At 35.5% G+C, this 21,282-nt stretch overlaps 1 long non-coding RNA gene across 1 annotated transcript in view; it reads right to left on the minus strand.

Moving 5' to 3' along the window:
* Positions 1 to 1,618: 1,618 nt before the first annotated feature.
* Positions 1,619 to 21,282, minus strand: part of LINC02645 (long intergenic non-protein coding RNA 2645) — a 55,210-nt gene continuing 35,546 nt past the window's right edge. The window contains exons 2-3 of the long non-coding RNA NR_136146.1: positions 2,653 to 2,716; positions 1,619 to 2,316 (exon numbers count right to left, since the gene is read on the minus strand). This is a non-coding gene — a long non-coding RNA (long intergenic non-protein coding RNA 2645). The remainder of the gene's footprint in view (positions 2,317 to 2,652; positions 2,717 to 21,282) is intronic.

Consider the following 21,282-nt stretch of genomic DNA (forward strand, 5'->3'; position numbering starts at 1 on the left):
GAAATTGTTGTATAGTCCCAGTTAATACCATTCTATGTCCCACAGGGAAGAAGCAGGCATGTTCTTCTCCACAATAGTATGCAAGGATAACAGATGTGGCAGCTAGAGAAAGGCATAGAAGAGGAGGGAGCAAACTAAGAAATCCAACGTTCACAGGTGACACTCTCCAGCTTCCCTTTTCACGTACAATATGACATGTGCCTTTCTGCAAGACAGAACTTCATCTCCTTTGGGGAAAATATGGCAAGTCGCCTGTTCTGTTTGACTAGACCTTGATCCCAAGAAAAAGACACCTCTGCGACCAGGTCCCTGGAGAAGCTGCGTGAAGCCCGCCGTGTGGTAGTGCCCACCCGTCACCCTCCCCACGCCCTCGCCTGCAATTCATTTCTGGATTTCCAAGGACATTTGGGGTTCAAGGCAGATGGCTCATAGTTCTCCTTATTAGTACATTTGTACGAATCAGACCATGGGGACCATTTTAAGTTTAAAAAATACACGAGGAAAACTTATTTCTTCCATAATTGTAAAAGTCCTCCAAAAAGAATATAAAATTTGAGTAAGTCCAAAGAAACAAAGACCGTGTTGTTTTGTTTTTTTGTTTTTCTTTTTCATTTTTTTTTTCATGGCACAGTAGGCTGAAATATTGTTCTCTAAGCCTGTCTAAAAACCATCTGTCTTTCTTGGGCATGTAACCTTCTTCTGTTTATCATCCATAGTTGTTTAAAGCCCTGACTGTGTAAAGTCTGCTGTTAATTTTTAGAAAACGAAAGAGTTGTCCATTTTGTATAGACTTGGAAATAATTCTTGTGCAGTAGAGAGCGTGATCCCCGAAGTTCTGGTGCTATTGCTGTGCAGTGTGTGAACGAGTTTTCTTTCATCTAATTTAGCAAGCCTATTTCATCACTCTCGTTTGGTAACTGACTGCGGGCATAGCCGTGTCTCGTGTTCTTCTCGGAACAAGCTTTTCTTCCTGCTGGGCCCCTCGATAGCTGCCCCATAAATCTTTAACATGTGTTCATTATAAATTCCTCTGAGGATTCTATTCTTCCAGTTTTGAAAATTGCACATAGACAAAACAAGATAGAGAATATGCTAATTTTAAAATACATTTTCTCCATTAATCAAGTTTGCACTGTTGGGAAAACACTGTTCTGTGTCATAAATATTTTACCTAATTTTTACACGATACTTAGAGTATAGGGGCTTATTTAAGATTTGAGGGTGGTTATGATTTAAAAGATTTATGCACAGAGAAAATAGACACACAATTTTCAGTTGAGTCTTCCATTTTGAGAAAAACTCTCAGGAAGACTGGCTTCTAATTCCCAATAGTTTATTCTTTCACTCGAACACTTTAAACCTTGTACAATGGCACCATTTTTTTTTTTGGTACTTACAATTAATGTTATTTCTCTCCCATTCTATTTTTATTTCCTTACAGAGTCAATGAAAGCAAAAAGTAGAGGTTTATTAAGCCAACTCAATGGCATTATGCCCCCAGGAAATCCAGTAGGTCAAGTGCTATAAATTATGGCCTTTTACATTGCATGAGTACCATGAAGATAAATGAGGATGCTAATGCATGACACCGAAAGAAGAAAAGGACACATTTCACTCTGAGTTTTTGTTCTACCGTTTATTTTTTATATCTTTGGGTAAAGGTAACATTCCATTACCTACGAGCAAATACTTTATACTACACCTTTAGCTATTTCTCCCATATAAATGACAAAATTGCCAATTCCAGAATATTGACACAAACTTTATAACACTGGACAGTCTTTCTGGCAATCTAAAAAATGAGAAATAAAAGCCCCAAATATTAAATTGATTTTCTGTGCGTTTACTTATCACATATTAGAAAAATAAATGGTTATGATAGTCTCTGAAAATCCTCCTCATTGTTTCTCATACACATTTGTAAATGCTAGTGTGTTTTCTAACTGTATTTACAGCTCTTTCGTGCCCATCTCTCCAATTCTACCAGGTAATGTACTTGGTCTTTTTTTTTTTCTTTCTTTAACATTGTAAGTTTGTGAAGCAGGATGATGGGAGTCCAGGTTTCTATTTCTGTACTTGTGCTCCCTAGAAGGAACAGAGTTTGGAGGACTGTAAAAGAAAAGTGGAGGTAAAAGTGTTTCCTCCAGATTGGAAGGAGATGCCTGAGGTGCAAGGGAGGAGCAGCAGGAGTGGTCAGTTGGATCAGATCGCAGCAGGTGCATTTCACTTTCCTGTAGCCTCATCGTCCTAGCAATGGCTCAGCATTCCAACCATGGAAGCTGCAGAGGAGAGTAGAGGGACGCTGGATGGGATTCCCTGCAAGAAGAGAGGACACAGCAGTCTCGATGCCTCCACCTACTAGTGCCATGGGAACAACTAAGATGCTGGCACCATGGCATGTCACCAGAGGGGATTACAAGAATGGTTGGAACAAAACATTATGAACTTCAGCAAGATTGTGGCTTGAAATACAGATTAAATTACATTATAAAAATCTGAATTTAATGTGTATGGCACAATTGCTGTACAGATATTGGATAAGGTGTGGTTGTGATTACTTATTTTTGTAGGATGAGAATGTTTGTACTGTCATTGTCCTAATCATTATGATGAAGAATCTGTCTGGAAACAAGTGAGGTTTGTATTCACAACCTGCATGCCTTTGACTGATGTTTCTCTCCAGGGCTCTCACATCAGCTTCATTATCCGTGAACACCTGTCAGAAGGTGAAGGCTGAGGTCACTATTTGTTTCACCATTTATAATATTTTAATGAAGATTTGAAATAACACCATGACTATCACTATAAAGATAACTCACAAAACAAACAAACAAAATAAATCAGGACATACAGCATTTTGAACCTTGGGATCAGGTGTGGGAGAATGTTGTGTCTAACAGTGTCAGTCTGAACTTGTTTTTAAGTTCTTAATGTCCAAAGTAATTGAACATGTGTGTGTCAGGGGTCAAGTCCATCACATGGTTAAACTGCGCTAGTGGACTGGGGATATAAATGAAATATGCTTTCACAGTCAAGAACATACCCCATGGCTCCAGGTTTTTTCCCCCTGAATTCTTTTAGATTGCACCTCCAGTCTACAACAAGCCAAGAACTTGTCTCTTCCCTTCTGAAATTTCTTTCAGAATCAGTTTCTATGAAAGCAATAACAGTGCCTGCATACACACACACACACACACACACACACACACACACAGCCCACACACACACATGTCAATACACAGGTACACAGTATCACTCACACATAGTCATGTTTCCCGAGGAAAAAAAAGTGAATGCTATATAGTCAAGTAGAAAGAATACTGTTAAAAGGCAAGCAAAAACTGATTACCTTTTATCTGGGATATTCCTTCTTATATAATATTAACAGTGGGCTCTGAGTCCTTCCCTTCTGCATCAGTTAAAATCCTGCTCACTTTATTCCCGTCTAAATTAGTACCATCCACTGGCCATTCTGTGCTTTCAGATTTTTTTAATGTGTATTTTTAATAAAATGATATTTATAATTCAGAACTCAGGTCATTGTGACCCTTTTCTTGCAATCTAAAATAAGATCTATAATTTTGTTTTGGAAGCATGTAGATAAGGCATTAGAAGTAAGGCATTTGTTGTACTGAAACCAAACTCCTAAAAGACACATTCCAGAAGTTATTTCAAATGGTTAGTCCCACCCACCATCCCTCTCCATTTCTCATTCTGATGATTTGCTGAACAGGGGTGACCCTCCCGTCTACTACAGTGAGGCCCTCAGTGGAGAATATCCATGTGTGTGCGTATCCTGAGCCAAATGATCACTAAGAGCCAGTTTCATGACTGTTTCCTAAGAGAATGTTGTCTACGATTATTTTATTATCTATTACTTAGATACAGCCAAAATTCAGTGTTAAACCTGGAAATATAGTACTAGGAAAATATAGGACTCTTCTCTCAATGCCTAGTAGAAATGCACACACTGCATGTATATTCAAGCAATACATAAGTAAAATCATTCAAACCACTCTTTAAATTATTTATGTTTCTCTGTTTCCAAAATTGTGAAAATGCGAAATATCAAGCTATTGGCCCAAATTCTACATCTTAACTGAAATGTAGAATTACATCTCAAATAAAGATAATTTTATTGGTGGTTATGCCATGACATGCTTATGCACTCTATGCTGGATGTTTAAACTAACCAGATATACGTTGTGAAAGTAAATCTTATAATTATTTCCATAATTCTAATATATAATTCTTATCACAAGTACATGATTGCTGGATCTAAATCAAATAATAATTTTTACGCTCTTGATACCTGCTGGCAAGTTGCTTTCTTAAATGACTAACCAATTTATATTCCTTTAAGATTTCTGTGAGAAAACCTATGATTTTTGGGTCCACTTGATCACTCTGTGGCTTTTCCTATTGTAGTTTTCTGTTGAAGGTTATTCTCATTGACTTCTTTTTATTTTATACTTTATGATGCACTCATTGAAAGCCGCTCCACACCAAATGCACAGCTTAATACATTTTATTTAAACAAATACCCGCATAACAACAACTCTGTGGTGCAAACACCACAGAGGTAGGAGGCCACAACCTTTGTGGGCTTTTCCACTGGCATTTTCTACAGTCTCCTTAACATTAACGCAATTTGTGATTTTATAAAAATCTCCTCATTCTCCTTGGTAGCTTTAAGATAAAATAATGCATTTCTAAATAAAATTACACCTGTTTCTTGAATTTCAAACACATACTATTCAAGAATATTTCCTCTCTTTAAAATGTCAGTATAATGTACTATATTGATCGATTTTTAAATGTTAGGCAAACTTGATTTTTTGAAACAAATTTAAGTTGGTTGTTATGTATTGTACTTTTTGCATATTGCTGAATTTAGTTTGCAAATATTTTGTTCAGAATTTTTGCATCTATAATTATTAGTGAAATTGATAACTTCTATATATTCTTTTGTGTTTTGATACAAAGCTGATCATTTCTCTATTTTTTTAAGTTTATGGTATATTTGTTTTATTTCTTTAAAATATTTGTTTGAATTTCCTGGTGAATCAAGCTAAACATGGAGTTTTGGGGGGAAAATATTTTTAAAAATATAATGTCTATTTGTTGGAAACAAAATTACTGATATTTCTTATTTCTACTTGCATAATTTAGTAGTTATTTAATTTTCTAAGAATTTGTCTATTTGATCTACATATTGAAAAGTAATGGCAAAATCTTGCTCATGATATTCTTTGTTTTCTTTTAAAAGTCTGTAGGATTTGTAGTGATGACTCTTTTTTATTTCCTTTCTATGCTCGGCTTCCACGAGTTTAACTGTGTGTATTCTGTAGTTTTTAAGAGCAATGTATATATCTAAAGTAAGGTTTTATGTACTAAACATATTTTGCAAATGTTCTATATCCTTGCTAAGATTTTTTTCTTGCCTTTTTCTATCAATTATTTAGACAGGTATGTAATATTTCTCACTCTAATTGTAAATATAATTTTTTGAGATTATAAAACATTTTGCTTAATATGTTATCAGAATAAGTAATGTGGTACATAATCATTTAGAATTATTCTATTTTCCTGATGAGTTGTAATTTTTATTTTTATAATGCATGTCTTTTTAATACAGATAATGTTTTATCTCCTCTATTGGTAGATTTTAATATCAGCTCTCTGGAGATCAGTGTTTTTGCCCTTTTCTTTTGATTTTCTTGCATCTTAATATTTCTAAATATGCTTCTTTTTAACAGTCTATTATTGGGTTTTGAAATTTTTTAAACATCCAGAATAGCCATTTTGAGTTATAATTGAAGGATCGTGTCCATTTTTTAAAATAAACTTTATTTTTTAGAAAAGCTTAGATTTACAGAAGAATTAAGAAGACAGTACAGAAAGTTCTTGTGTACCCCATCCTAAGCATTTCTGTTTTTAACGTCTTATCTCAGTATGATACACTGATACAATTAAAAAATCAGTCTTGATACATTATTAACTAATGTCCAGGCTTTATTCAGATTTATTTAGTTTTTGCACGTATGTATTTTCTGTTCAAGATCCTATATGGCAGGCCCCATTATATTCCATTGTCCTGTCTCTCAATCTCCTCGTGGTTGTGATAGTTTCTTAGACTTTCCTTGTTTCCTCAAAACCTTTACAGTTTTGAGGAGTTCCGATCATGGTTCTAGAACATTCCTCAACTGAGATTTGTCACATATGTTTCTCATTATTAAATTGAGGTTATATGTTCTCACAGGAAGACTAGAGAGGATTAGTGTCATTTTATCACATCGCATCACATATAATATGTGCTATCAACATAACTTAGCACTTCCAATGTCTGCCTGGACTACCTGGCTGAGATAGCATTTCAGGTTTTTCTGCTGTAAAGATTATTTGTTTCACAATTTCTGTACAGCCTTCTTTAGAAATAGATTGCTTTATATAGTCCACATTTAAGGAATAGGATGTTACGTCTCAGCTTTTTAGAATAAAATGTCTATATAAATTATTTAGAATACCAGATTCTTTTTTTCTGGTACTACAAGACGCTCTAGGGTCACCTGATATGTTTCTTGCCCTCTTCCTGGGATATCTAGGTATTTTTTTTGAAGAGCAGCATCAGAACCAAGATCTGGACACTGAGTGAGCTCCTTGCAACTGAGGTGTCCTTGACTTTGAGCCCTTTCACCTGACATAGTAAGAAAAAATATGTGTGCACTAACCTGTGACTATGTACATACCTATAATTAGTTCTATGTAAAACTGTCTGTAACAATATTAATATTAACAATATTAAGCTGAAATTTCTATTCTGATCTTACAAACCCTAACCCATAACATGGAGCCTTCTAGACTTTTCCTCTTGCTCATCTGGAAACTCCACTCAAACAGGGGGAAATCAGGTCCCGCCACTCACACCCTTTTATCTAAATGTTTACTAAGTGAGTCAAGGTGGTTCGTGCTGTAGCCTCGGATCCCAGCACTTAGGGAGGCTGAAGTGGAAGGATTGCTTATACCTAGGAGTTCAAGATCAGACTGGGCAACACAGTGAGACCCTGTATCTACAAAAAAAATGAGAAGAGAAAAAATTAGCCAGGCATGGTGGTGCATGCCTATAGTCCCAGCTACTTGGAAGGTTGAGGTGGGAGGATTGCTTGAGCCTAAGAGTTCAAGGCTGCTATGATCCATGATTGCACCACTGCAGTCCAGCCCTCTGGGCAACAGAGTGAGAACCTATCTATCTCTAAAATACATACACACATGTTTACTACTGCATTTGCTTTTAATGCAATGACTGATATCTCTAAGATTAAATTTACTGTATTACAACACTTTTTCTATTCTTTACCCTTTCCATTTTTCTCTTTTCTTTCATGTATTTAAATTGATTTAGTTTTATAATTTTTTATTACATAAATGTAAAAATATACAAACATTTATTGCTTTTCGATGGTTGCCCTAGAAATTGCATCACACATCTTAACCTATATTTATTTTATATTAATTGTTACTTTTCTCTTTTTTTCCAGAGCAAGACCCTTCAAACAAAACATTTAAATTATTTCCCTTCCATAATATATGCTACAGTTGTTAGATATCTAATTCTCTCATACACTTTGAAACTGAAAACATTTAAACTCTTGCTATATACTGTTGATATTTGTTTAAATTTATACATGTAAATTGTATTTTTTTATTGATCACTATTTTTCTCCCAAATCTCTAACTATCTGACCATCCCTTCTACTGGAAGAACAACCAACATCCAGTTCAGGAGTCTCAGTGCCAAAGTCTTTGGCTTTCTCTAACCTTATCCTCCCTGAAGAACACAACTATTTTCATTTTGTTTTGTTTCATTTTATACTTATTATTATATTTGTTAGGGTTCTCCAGAGTAATAGAAAAAAGTAGAAGACATATATATCTTCTATATATACATATATAGAAAGAGAGAAAAGTGAGAGACATATATAGAGATAGATACACACACAGGCACACACACACATATATATGAAGTGAGAGAGAGAAAGAATTATAATACATAGTATTATAATACCTACATATATAAGGAATTGGCTCATGTGACTATGGAGGCTGGAAAGTCCAAATCTCTGGTGTGAACTGGCAGGTGATAGACCCAGGGAAGGAGAAAGTGCAGTTTCATTCTGAAGGCCAGAAGCCCAGAGACCCAGCAAAGAGTCGATGTTGTATGCTGGCAAAATTCACTCTTGCTTGGGGGAGGTCAGTCTTTGTTCTACTCGGGCCTTCAGTTGATTGGATGTGGCCCACCCACATTGGGGAGGGCTATCTACCTACTCAAAGTCCACTGACTTAAATGTTAACCTCATCCAAAGACATTTTCATAGAAACATCCAGAATAATATGAAACCACATATCTTAGTACCCCAGGGTCTGGTCAAGTTCACATGTAATATCAACCACAACAAAATATAACATTATTTTTCTGGAAAGATGATCTTTATTGCAAGAAATCTATTAGGTTGATGCAAAAGTGATTGCGGTTTTTGCCATTACTTTTAATGTCAGAAATCGCAATTGGTTTTGCATCAACCTTATATTTACCAATAAAAACTTGGAATAGACTCTTTTTTTGATTACTATTGTCAGCAAAATGTAAACTATTTCACAACAATTGAATGAATACCCAACTGATTTCAATATCTCTAATACTGCCATCATCAGGAAATTTGAAACCGCATTCATTCCTTCTTACAAGTGTAGACCTAAGGAGGGTGCATGCAAAATAGGCAGAACCCAGGATAATTCAACATAATTTAGGGGCTGCCTGCAGTGAAAGTCATTTTGCACTAAGAACCGACTCTTTTGGGAGTAGCATCTGCTCCTCCAAGCCCTGATGGAGAGCCCTTTCTCCTGCGGACAGCAGCAGCGTGCTGAGTCCATGAGTGATGACGATGAAGGCAGTCCACATCCCTCCCTTCAGGTACATCCTTCCACTGCATTGCTGCCCCAAACAAGATAAGAAGGGCGATGACTCCTTTCTGTTGATCTCACCTCTATCTCTACTACACACTCAAAGCACAGGGTTCAACCAACTATCACAACCCGGAAAAAAAAAAAAAAGCAGGTTTTGAATAAGAACATCTTAAAGTCTCGTGCGGGGTGGTATGGGAGTTCCATGCAGAGAAAAAGGGAATATGGCAGAGGGGGAATATTGGGAAAATACGTCCCCCACATTGAGGATGGAGGAAATGTTTCTTGTTTTGTTTGTTTTATTTAATCACAGAATCTGGGGCACATCTCTAATAGATTCATTTGTCATTGTAATTCATGACAGCAGGCTTAAGACTTGAAAGAACTCCTCAAATTTACCTTCCTTTATTGTAACCGAACTATTTTTTATAAGACTAATATCTTCAGTGTGAAGCCGTGTAAAAGGATGTCTTGGAAACCATATAAAGTGGATTTACTTCCTTGTAGCTTTAGCAAGCCATTCAAAAAAGTAATTGATAAGATTGCGTGAACTAAAGGTTAAAAACAATTGGGATTTTTCAGAATGATATATTCAATTTTGTATGCAACTATTACAATGTACTTATTTTTATCTTTTATATCTCTACTAGTCACTCTGTTCAGAAGGAATTATTTGGTTATCATGCAGCACATATTAAAAGGTACTGTGACTATAAATTCCCTATATATACATCTATATATACAATCAATATATATTCAATTTTTTGTTTTTGAGATGGGGTTCCACTCTTGTGGCCTAGGCTGGAGTGCAATGGCATAATCTAAGCTCACTGAAACCCCCGCCTCCCAGGTTCAAGCGATTCTCCTGCCTCAACCTCCCGTGTAGCTGGGATTACAGGCACCCGCCACCATGACCAGCTAGTTTTTGTATTTCTAGTAGAGATGGGGTTTCGCCATGTTGCCCAAGCTAGTCTCGAACTCCTGACCTCAGGTGATCTGCCGGCCTCAGCCTCTCAAAGTGCTGGGATTACAGGTGTGAGCCGCTGTACCCTGCCTATATATTCAATTTAAATATTACGATAATTAAGAAAAGAATAGATTTATATTTCCTACGGAGACTATACTTTTAGTATAGTCTCCACTGCCATTCTGTCAATGCATGCATGCTCAATATTGTATCTGGGAAGTGTTTTACAGTATGGGGTGGTGGAAGCCAGGTTCGTAGCTAGTGTCTATTTTTCATGGGATAAGGACCCTCACCATGCGAGAGCTAAAGTTACCAACTTGGTATCAATTGACTTGAAATCTTGGAATTTTACAACTGTGTTCACATTCAGGTGCCAGGCTAGAGCTGGCCCCGGCACAGCACTGGTATCTTTCTCCCTACCTGAATCTCTGTCCAGATATTGTCCTTTGCCTTCTGTCCTTTCATTACATTAACTAATTAATTAATTGTGAAAACCAGACTCTTCTGAAGAACTCCACAATGTAGCTGGAAAATAATACTGACCTGTATGAAACAGAGACTGAAGTTGTAAGAGTTAGACAAAAGAAGAGAATATGAAATATGGAAAGTCAGTGCAATTGATAATAGCAGCGATATGATTCACCATTTCTAGGGCTCCTTCCAGGCACAGTGCCAAGTGCCCTACACTTCTTACCCCATTTAATCCTCAAAACAGTCCTAACAGAATCACACTATTATCAGACCTACTTTGCAGTTAAGAAAACTGATGCTTAGTAAAGTGAAGTAACTTTTCCAAGCTCACACATGGCAAATCCATTTACTTTCAAATGTCTTATACAGGTGAGAACTTCTTTGACTTTACAGATGGGTGAGGTAACTGTGGTTGAAATAGCCTGAGAAGAATATGTGGATAAGAAGGGCCTTGGATTATGAGTGAGACTTGAAATTCGAAATAAGTACAGTTGACCCTCGAACAGCGTGGGCATTAGGGGCGCTGCGCCAATCCCCTGCACAGTCAAAAGTCTGAATATAACACTGGAGTCCCCAAAACCGAACTACAAACAGCTACTGTTCATGTTACTGCTAACATAAACAGTTGACTAACATGTGTTGTATATTAAATGTCTCATATGCAGTATTCTTACAATACGGTAAGCTAGAGAAAAGAAAAGGTAATTAAGAAAATCATAAGAGAAAATATATTTGCTATTCATTAACTGGTAGTGAAACCTCATGAAAGTCTTCATTCTTGTCTTCACGTGGAGCAAGCAGAGGAGGAAAAGGAGAGGCTGGTTTTGCTGTTTCAGAGGTGGCAGAGGTGGAAGAGGTAGAGGGGGAAGAGGAGAGGCAGGCACACTCAGGATAATTTCCATTGGAAAAAAAAGTATAAGTGGACCCTCAAAGTTCAAACCCATGTTGTTCAAGAGTCAACTTTATATACAATTAAGAGAGAAAGAAATGTCTCTTATTACATAAGTATTATATTGACAGTCTTTCTATTACTTTTTTGTAATAACTATATCATTATCCTCATTTTAGAAAAGAAGTTAAATAATTAATCCAATGTTAAATAATTATGTTGTTAAGCTGTGACTTCAGATTCTTAGTGAAGGTTAAACATGTGTTCTAAACACCATGCCTCCACTCCTGGTAGCTCTCTCTGGGGTCCAAGACAAACAGGCTTTCTTACCCATGACGTGAGTTCACAAGTTTCACATCATTTTGCTAGAGCACTTTCAGAGATCAAGTATTGCTGTACTTACTGTCAGCTCCCTATAGCCTTTTTAAAAAATTCACTTCAAACCAACAGTTTCTTGGAAGAAAAGAGTCAGAAACTCAGGGAAGCAGGTGAACAGAGAGTAAAAGGACAACAGAAGTTCCAGAGAAATTGAGCAACAGGCCCAGGGTCACACAGGTGGTAAATCACAGAGCACAGATAGGAGCTCCCGCACCACAACAGCATTCATTCTCTTAACCACCATACTGTTTTGTACCTCAAAAATTCGATGTGTAATTTCACTAAGTTTAAATGTCACATGTCTGAATTAGCAAAATGTCGCCAAAAGTAATTGAAACGTATTTCTCGCCTTCATCTTCAATATTTGCTTCTTATTCCCAACTGTTTCTTTCCAACTTACTTTCCTCTAACGTTCCAACAAACACACAAAAACAGTGCAAAATTTGTTTTTTTAAAAAAGTAAAATAAAACAGGGAGAGAGTTTCTCTCCCTGTTGCAGAAGGAAGAGAAAAGTAATTGCCAGGAGAAGTATGTTTAGGTAAGAAAAAGATAAAAATTTGGCGCCTTAGCTCCCGTGTGGGTAGAGCAGCAGCGCAAGAGAGCTTTGTTATACACCGAAGTCCAGGTGAGAGTGCCACAGCTGTCTTGCTAATGCACCTGCAGGATCAGGGAAGATACAGAGACATACTCACAAGCCATGAGCTGCTAAGCAATCGGGAACCCTGCAGAGGAAGCCCTTTCAAATGGGAAGTCAACTGCCAAATGATCAGGAGGTGTGAAAGGAAGAACCAATCACAAAAGAAAAACAGAAGGCAACCTTCCACCTGTACCAACAGGTAGCCCACACATTTCATCCGACTTCAACTGGAATCACACAAAGCTGCCGAGGGAAGGAGAGCAAATATATTTGTTAAAATGTCATTTTCCTTAGCTGCAAAAAATTGGAAATAGAGTTGAACGTATTTCCTCTATCACTCCCTCTTGAAATCGTCTGATTTTCTCATTATAATTTGTTACAGATGCTGCTTTAGATCTCTGCATAGAAATGTGCAATTTCTTTATGTATTTCATGATACCATCTTTTGAAATAAAAAGGAAAATGCTCTATACTCTCTATCTGAAGTGAACCATTTTTTGCCTGTGCAATGCTAACGGCGGGAAGCATGCACAGGAAGAGCATTGGGCATTTTGAAATAAAATGCACCTAGCCTTGAAAACTGTGTTCATCCATTTCACAAGTGCCAGACTGGGCTGATTACTGGGGATTGGCTGGGCAATGCCACCATAACTATTCTTTGTTTTCATGGGAGCTTGGAGACTAGCAGGAAAGACATACTTTAAAGAAGTAATTACAACCCACTGTACAGAGAGCATGCTGACAGGGGCCCATGTGGTAATTCGGGAGCAAGAAACAAACAGCCCACTGGCATGTGGATGCCGTGGGAGGAGAGGCACCCTGAGGAGGGGGCATGCACTCTGAAACTCCTCCATTAACTGCATGGAAGCAGAGCCAGAGTGGCCTCCGCAGAGGGATGATACCTGGGAAACAAGGAGAAATTAAGGCAGGGTTGAAGAGGTTATGAATTTTTTCCCAAGAGAAAGAAGCAGGAAATTTGTGAAGGAATTTAAGCACAAAAATGATTTAAAATTTCTATGGAAAGATTTTGACAGTTATGTGGAGAATATACTAGGATAGATCCTAGGAGACCAGCTAGAAGCGTGGAAGTGCTTCAGATAAGAAGTGAAAATAAATCGGACTGGGAGAGGGACAGTAAGATTGGACAGAAGTGAATCACTTTTAAATTAAGATTTAATAAAAACCATGAATATAAAGAGTCTGCATAGTACTAAGTCAACAAATGTTTCCCTCTTGATAAATAGCAACTTAGATATATTAATACTAATGGCTAATAAATTTTGAGCAAATAGTCTATGCCAGGTATTGTACTAAACAATATTGCATGTTTGGGTTTAACTTCACTATTACATATTATACAAATAAGAAACTCTTCCTTGGGGTGGGTAGCTAAAATGTCCTATTCAACTCAGCTTGTAACGTGGAAAGGAGCTTGAGTAGGATCCACACATCCTTGAGCTTCTATGCCACATCTATTCTCCCCAAACTTTGGGTGCTCCTCCAATTCCTCAGGCAGCTCAGTAAGTTATTCAGAGTGATTCTGAATAACCAAGATAGTATTTTTTGCTTACATTATTTCTATTTAAAATATCATTTCAAATCAATAGTTGATAGAATAAACAATGTCTAAACATACTACCCTATCTGTATTCAAATATTTAAAAACTTTATCAGTTGAAAGAAAAAGATATTGTTCATAATGAGGCTCCAGCTGGTTAAGTCTATGTGTAATAAAAGGAAGTACAGAAAAAGAGTGGAAATTTTCATTTTTTTGGTAACATCTAATTTATCGATGAGTTTTTTTGTTATTTTGTGGTTTTGGTATATCTTTTAAATTTACTTGATCCAAGATCAGAAAGATTTGCTCTATATGCTCTCTTCTAGGAGTTTTATAGTTTCAGCTCCTATATTTAGCTATGTGGTCCATTTCAAGTTCATTTGTGTATGTAGTGTGAGGTAGGGGTACACAGTCATTCTTTTGCATACAATGTTCAGTTCTCCCAACACCACTGGTTGGAAAGATTAACTTTAACCAGTGAATCGTCTTGGTACCCTGGTCAAAAATTAATTGGCCTTCAATATAAGGATTCATTCATGGATTCTCAATTCTATTCATTGATCTTCTATATTTCTATCCTTAGCTAGTATAACACTGTTGCAATTATTGTGTCTTTGTAGTAAGTTTTGATATAGAAAATTACAAGTCACCCAATTTTGTTCTTTTTCTTCAAGAATGTTTTGGCTGTTCAATGTTCCTTGCATTTCTATATACTTTTTAATATCAATTTGTCAATTTCTGCAAAATAGGTAACCAGAATTTTGATAGAGATTTTGTTCAATCTGCACATCAATTTCAGTTCCATGTATTGTCTTTCTATTCATGTGCATGATATGCCATTTTGTTTACTTAGAAGTTTCTTACATTCTTTGAACAATGTTGTTGAGCTTTCAGTATACAAGCCTTATACTTCTTTCATTGAATTTATTTCTAAGTACTTTATTCTTCTAATGCTATTTTAAATGAAGTCATTTTCTTAATTGTATTTTTGTATTATTCATTGCTAGTGTATAGAAATACCATTGATATTTGTATATTGATGTTTCTTGCTACATTGCTGAACTCTTTTATTAGTTCTAATGGTTTTTATGGGATTCCTGAGAATCTTCATTGTACAAGTTCATGTCATATGCAAGGAGAGTTTTACTGCTATTTTTTCAATGTAGATGACTTTATTTATTTTCTTGCTTAATCTCCCTGCCTAGAACTTCCTACACAATGTTGAATTGAAATAGGGAGACTGGAAATCTTGTCTTTTTTAATTGTCTTAAGAAAAAAAATAATCCATCATTATCTACTATGTGTGATGTAAGCTGTGGGTTTTTTGAACATATCCTTTATAAGGTTGAAATGTTTCCTTCTATTTCTAGTTTGCTGAATGTTTACATCATGAATGAGTGGTGAATCATTCCAAATGATTTTTCTTCATGAATTGAGATAATCCTGCGATTTACTTCTTTACTGTAGCAGCATTGCCTAATGTATTTATTGATTTTTTTGTAATTCAAACCAACTTTTCACTCCTGAGGTATATCGTACTTGGTCATGGTATACAATCTTTTATAATTGTATGTTGTTGGATTCAGTTTGAGGACTTTTGTATCTATTGATCCTAAGAGACATTGTTCTGCAGTATTACGTTCTCATGATGGCTGTAGCTGGGTTTTTGTCATAAAGTAATACTGGCATCAGAAAATAAGTTGAAAAGTCCTGTCAACTCTCCTATTATTTGGAAAAATTGAGAAGGAATAGTGTTAATTCTTTATTGTATGTTTGGTAGAATTTACCACAGACCATTTGGAACTTAGATTTGTGTATGTGTAAAATGATTTTATTTACTAATTCCATCTTTTCACTTGTTATGATTTTTTCAGATTTTCTGTTTCTTCTTGAGCCAGTTTCAATAGTTTGGGTCTTTCTGGAAATTTGTTCTTCCTGAGAATATACCTAGCTTTTTGAAAGAGAGCTTTTCATAATATTCCCTTATATATTTTTTAAAATTTCTGTAATGTCTGTAGTGATGTTCCCTTTTCCATTCTTGGTTATGGAAATATGAGTCTTTTTTTCTTGTCAGTATAATTACATTTTGTCCGTTAAAAAAATCCTTCAAAATACCCTTTTGGTTTTGTTAACTTTTTTTTTTTTCCTATTTCCTATTTCATTTAGTCAGCTGTAATCACTATTATTTCCTTCTTTCTGCTTGCTTTTCATTTAGAATGCTCTTGTTTTCTAGTTTCTTAAGGTAACTAGATGAGCGTCTGGGTCCTTCTTTTCCCTGGAACGTACACAAACTTGCACATGCATACAACCTTCTACTTCCCAAATAATATGTGTCAGATGTTCATTAGGTTATTGGCATGAAATCTGTTTTTTTTAATGTAGCTGTTTACAGCTCTACATTTTCATTTAAACACTGCTTTAGCTGCTTAACGTAGGTTTGCATATGTCATGCTTTTGTTTTTATGCACTTTGAAGTATTTCATAATTTATCTGGTGACTTCTATGATCTCTTGCTTATTTAGGAGTCTGTGGTTTATTTTTTACATAGTTGTGGGTTTTGCAAATTTCCTTCTGTAGTTTATGTCTGATTTTGTTTCTCTGTGATCAGCAAACATACTTTGTGTGATACTCATTCCTTTAAATTTATGAAGTCCTGTTTTATGACATATTGTATATTTATTCAGGAGAATGTTTCTTGTGTACTGCAAAAGAATGAAAATTCTGCCTTTCGTGGTAGAGTGTCATGGAAATGTCTCTTAGACAGAACTGGTTTTTAATGTTCAAATCTTCTACATTCTTATTAATTTTCTGCCCAGTTATTTTATTCATTATTGAGTTTTTAAGTCTCTATTATTGTTAAATTTTGTATTGGTTCCTAAAATTCTTTCCATTTTGTTTCATATATTTCGGAGTACCTTTGTTAAGTAAATACTGTTCATAATTGTTATAATTTTCTGATGCATTGATCCTGAAAGATACATGATATCCTTCTTTATCACATCTAAAATTTTTGTCTTAAAATCCGTTTTGCCAAATATTAGGATTAACTGCCAGAGCTATCTTTTGGTTACAAGGTTTATTGTGTTATCACTTCCATCCTTTTATTTTTAACCTATTTCTCTCTTTGAATTTATACTGTATCTTTTATAGACTGTATATAGTTGGATTAAAATTTTACTCTTTTTTCCATTTTCTGCCATTTATTTGCATAATTAATTCATTCACATTTAATATAACTACTGACATGATAGAATTTGTATCTGCCATTGTCCTATTTTTTATTTTTCTTAGTGACTTTGTTGTTGTTGCATTGTTCTTTTACTCCTTGATTACAGAGAATTCTTTTGTACTAAATATATATTTTCTAGTGCTCCTTTTTATTTCCTCATAGTTTCTTTTACTGTATTTCACCCAGGTTTCCAATCAGCATTTTAACTTAACACAGTCTAGTTCTGATTAACATTATATTAATTTCAATGGTTTTCAAAAACTGTTCTTTAATATACCTCTGTTCTCATCCTTTGCTTTTGTGTTCTTTTTGTCATCCAAATTACATATTTATACAATATATCTCCAACAACACTGTAGTATGATTATTACTTTATGCAATTGTCTTTTAAACAGATAGAAGGCTTTGCTGAAAATTGGACTTTTTTAAGACTGTATTGTAACAACTCTTCATATTCCTCCCCAAAATTTGTTTTATTGTTAGGAGTTTTGTTTGCCTTTTGATTTTGTGTTTCTTGTTGATGATTTTGTGTTTATTTACTTTTCTGAAATAATTTTGTAGCTTTTATGTTCCCAAGAGTGTGCCATTAATGTTTCTGGCCAAATGTTTGTTTTTTTTAAGTTGTCCATTTTTATTTTTAAGTCTGGCTTCCTAGGGTTCACCTGGGTTAGTATAATTAAGTAGTCCTCCAAAGATTGATCAGAACATTTTCTTAAACATCTCCACTGTTTGTCTTCTACCTTTGGCCAAGAGGATCTGTGTGGCAAGGTATACCTCAAGCATCAGAAGGATTACAAGACAGACTTTGCTTTCATAACTGCTTGGCCAGAGCCTCACGGTGAGCCAGAGAAGAGTGCCTGAGTCCTTCTCCTCCCTAGGTCTTTCCTCGGCACATACACAAACTTGCACAAACACACAGCCTTCTAGTTCCCAAAGAATGTGCCTCAGATGTTCAAAGCTCTCTATGCTCACATAGTTCTCCAAGAATTAAAAAAAATCCAGCCAAGTTCTGGATTGTCCCAACTGAAATCACAGCCTCATGCAGCTGCAATATGGTGAGCAGCTTGCCCCTGTATTGGTAACACTCTAGGATTAAGATCTTTTTATTCACAGAACTTAGCTCTGAGTCTGATAAAATAACCAGAAAGTACTAACAAATCTGAGTCTCAGCTGATTATGAATGTGAAATAAAGCAAACATCAAACAAATGGCAGACATCTTTTATTACAGCTCTTCTGTATTATGAGACTAATTCACATTCTCATAATTTTTGTTGCTCTCTGTTTGCTCTGCTTTTATGAACTCTATATGTTTATCATATGTTTTATTATCTCTTGCGCTTGTTGCATACGATAGAAGATAATTGCTTTATAAAAAAAACACACAGGCTTGTAATTGATACAAAAATATCTGCTGACCTGGTAAAAGAAAGATAGGCAGAATTAGGACACAGATAGGCAAGCTGTTGCGGTCGTCTCACAGCTGCTTTTTCTTTTTTTTACTGTCAATCTCACCTACTTTTTCATTTTTCAAAACTTTCCTTATACTTTAAAGCATATTTTGATGGCTTTCGATTGTTATCTTTTACGTAATTCTTTCACAACAATTGTCTTTAAAATTTATATTATCACCAAATGCTTAAATGGAAGAAAGCCTTTTACTCCTGAAATGATGGTGAGTAACTTTGATTTTGCATAATTCACCAGCTATTGTGGTTGTAATATTGTAATGAATGTGAGGTTTACTAATGGCCAAACAGCTGAACAGCTTCATCATCTCACTTTCTAAGACTGCATTTTAGATGACTCAGGTTGTGTCACTTAGAGGCTGCTGTACCATGTGCTATTTGGAGGTGAAAGCTTGGGAACAATTAAAAAGCAAAAGAATACCTTTTGGATCCTTTTGTTCTCCCGTTGTCTCCCATTCTAATTCAAAGCATACACATGGTCCTGTAATGAATGTCCTTATTCTAAAATTGCTCTCATTAATTTTCCATCTCTCTGTTTCCCTTTGAATGACTCATTGTACTACAGGAAAATTTTTACTCATGGTGCCTGTCAAAGTCTGCTTACCAACCCTCCTCTCATAACTCAGATGTATGTATTACTTATACAGAAACAAGTAAACTTAGCCTCAATCAAAACTGCTGTCTTCTCAGGACACCATATTAACTTCTGTTCCCACATCTTGGGTGGTGCTTTTCCTCTATCCTGGAAATTAATCTTACCTATCAAAGAAAGAGTACTTAAAGTTCAAGTCAAGCCTCACAGAGGAAGTCTATCATATTTTACCAAACACATCTGCCTCTTTATCTTAAATTTTTTAAAAAATATTTAATTTACCTATTCAGTAGGATTATTATTTCTAATTCTTAATTTGGAATTACCAAGTCATTTGTGAGTTGAAGCTATCTTAGATTTACACCAGTTCATTTTCTAGGTTGGTACTATTTAAAACTGCTCATCACATTAAAAATATAACTCACATATGTTATATTAAATGAAATCATGATGCTCTATAACATTTTTGTTTCTTTAAATACAGTTTTATTTTAGAATAGTTGTTTTAGTTATGGAACTATTGTGAAGAGAAAGCATCCATGTAATCTACACCCATTTTCCCTTACTGGTAGAGTGTATTAGCATGACATATTTCCCGCAATTAATGAACCAGTATCGATACAGCCTCATTAACTGAATTCTGCACATTATTCAGATTTTCTCAGATTTCTACATAATATCTCTTTTCTGTTCCATAATCCCAAGAATATCACATTCCATTTAATTGTCATGGCTCCTAGTCTCTGATTGGCTACAATGGTTTCTCAGTCTTTCCTTGTTTTGAAAGGCAATGATAATTATGAGCAGTTGTGGCTAGATTTTGCAGAATGTAGCTGATATTTTTCTCACAATCAGATTATGTGTGTTTTGTAGGGAGATGGCAGAGATAAGGCACTCCTCCTGTGACACCACCATGAAGTCACTGTTGATGTTGAACTTGATTACCTGGCAGAGGTCCTGTTTGTCAAGCTTTTCCCCTGCAGGGTTATTCATTTTTCCCCCTTTCAATACTGAGCTCTTTGGGAAGAAGCCACTGTCCACAGCCACAGGTAATTATACTTCACCTCCTTGACAGTGGGGTATCAAATAATATGTGGAATTCTTCTGCAAAGAAGATTTGTCTCTTCTCCATTTATTTACTTATTCTTCTTATTTATATGTGTGGATTTATATATATTAATTTTATATTTTGCATTAAAATTCAATCATACTAATGCATATATTTTGTTGTTCAAGTTGTTCAAGCTTTGCCCATTGAGATATTCTTGGTTAACTCTTGTGACCCTTTGACACACCCCATCACTGTGTGTGTGTGTGTATGTGTGTGTGCATGTGTAGCACTTTTCTACTTTCTGATATTACCAGATGCTCTAGACTTGTCTTGTACATTTCCTACCCTGGTCCTAGAATCAGCCATTTTGCCAATAAGTTGTGTTATGCAGAATGGAATTAGAAACCATATTTTAAGACTTAGTGTGCTCATTGCTACTGGGAAATCATTACTTCTAGATTCTCTTGGCAGACAGAGAAAAAGAAGACGTGTGTAAATAGACTTATCTATAAATATTTCTGGATATAATCATTTGTATCTGTAGTAAGATAAACATGCATTTGTAGTAATGTCTCCAAGTCTAATCTGTTTCAACCTGGGTCACTCTAGCTTCCTCTCCTCGCTTATCTGTAATCTCCTCACTCTAATAGTGGGAAAAGTGGCCCCTGTCATCCACCATTCATTTATTTAATTGTTCAATTCCAGTGAACATGTAGAGTGGTTTCAGAATTTGTCAACTTGTTTCCTGTAGGTAAAAACTATCAATTAAAAGATCTTTTTTTTAATGTACAATTCCTTTAGCCTTTAGTCTTGCATCCCACTCATCTCCAAATCATTCAGCTCAACATTTCCATGCGACCTTCCTTAGCAAGATGGTCTCCTTTGTTGATGATGCAGTTATATATTTTTGTCACATTCTGTTTTTTATCCTGAGATCTCTCAACCGCCTAAATATCCATTTAAAAATGCATACTTAAGGTTTTCTCTTTGTGCTCTAAAGATCTGAGTTTTGACAAGTGCATTCTGTCATACCTCTACCGTTGCAGTATCAGAGAGCAGTTTGACCACCCTGAGAGTATCC

The sequence above is a fragment of the Homo sapiens genome, chromosome 10 (genome assembly GCF_000001405.40).
Source record: "Homo sapiens chromosome 10, GRCh38.p14 Primary Assembly".
NCBI lineage: Eukaryota > Metazoa > Chordata > Mammalia > Primates > Hominidae > Homo > Homo sapiens.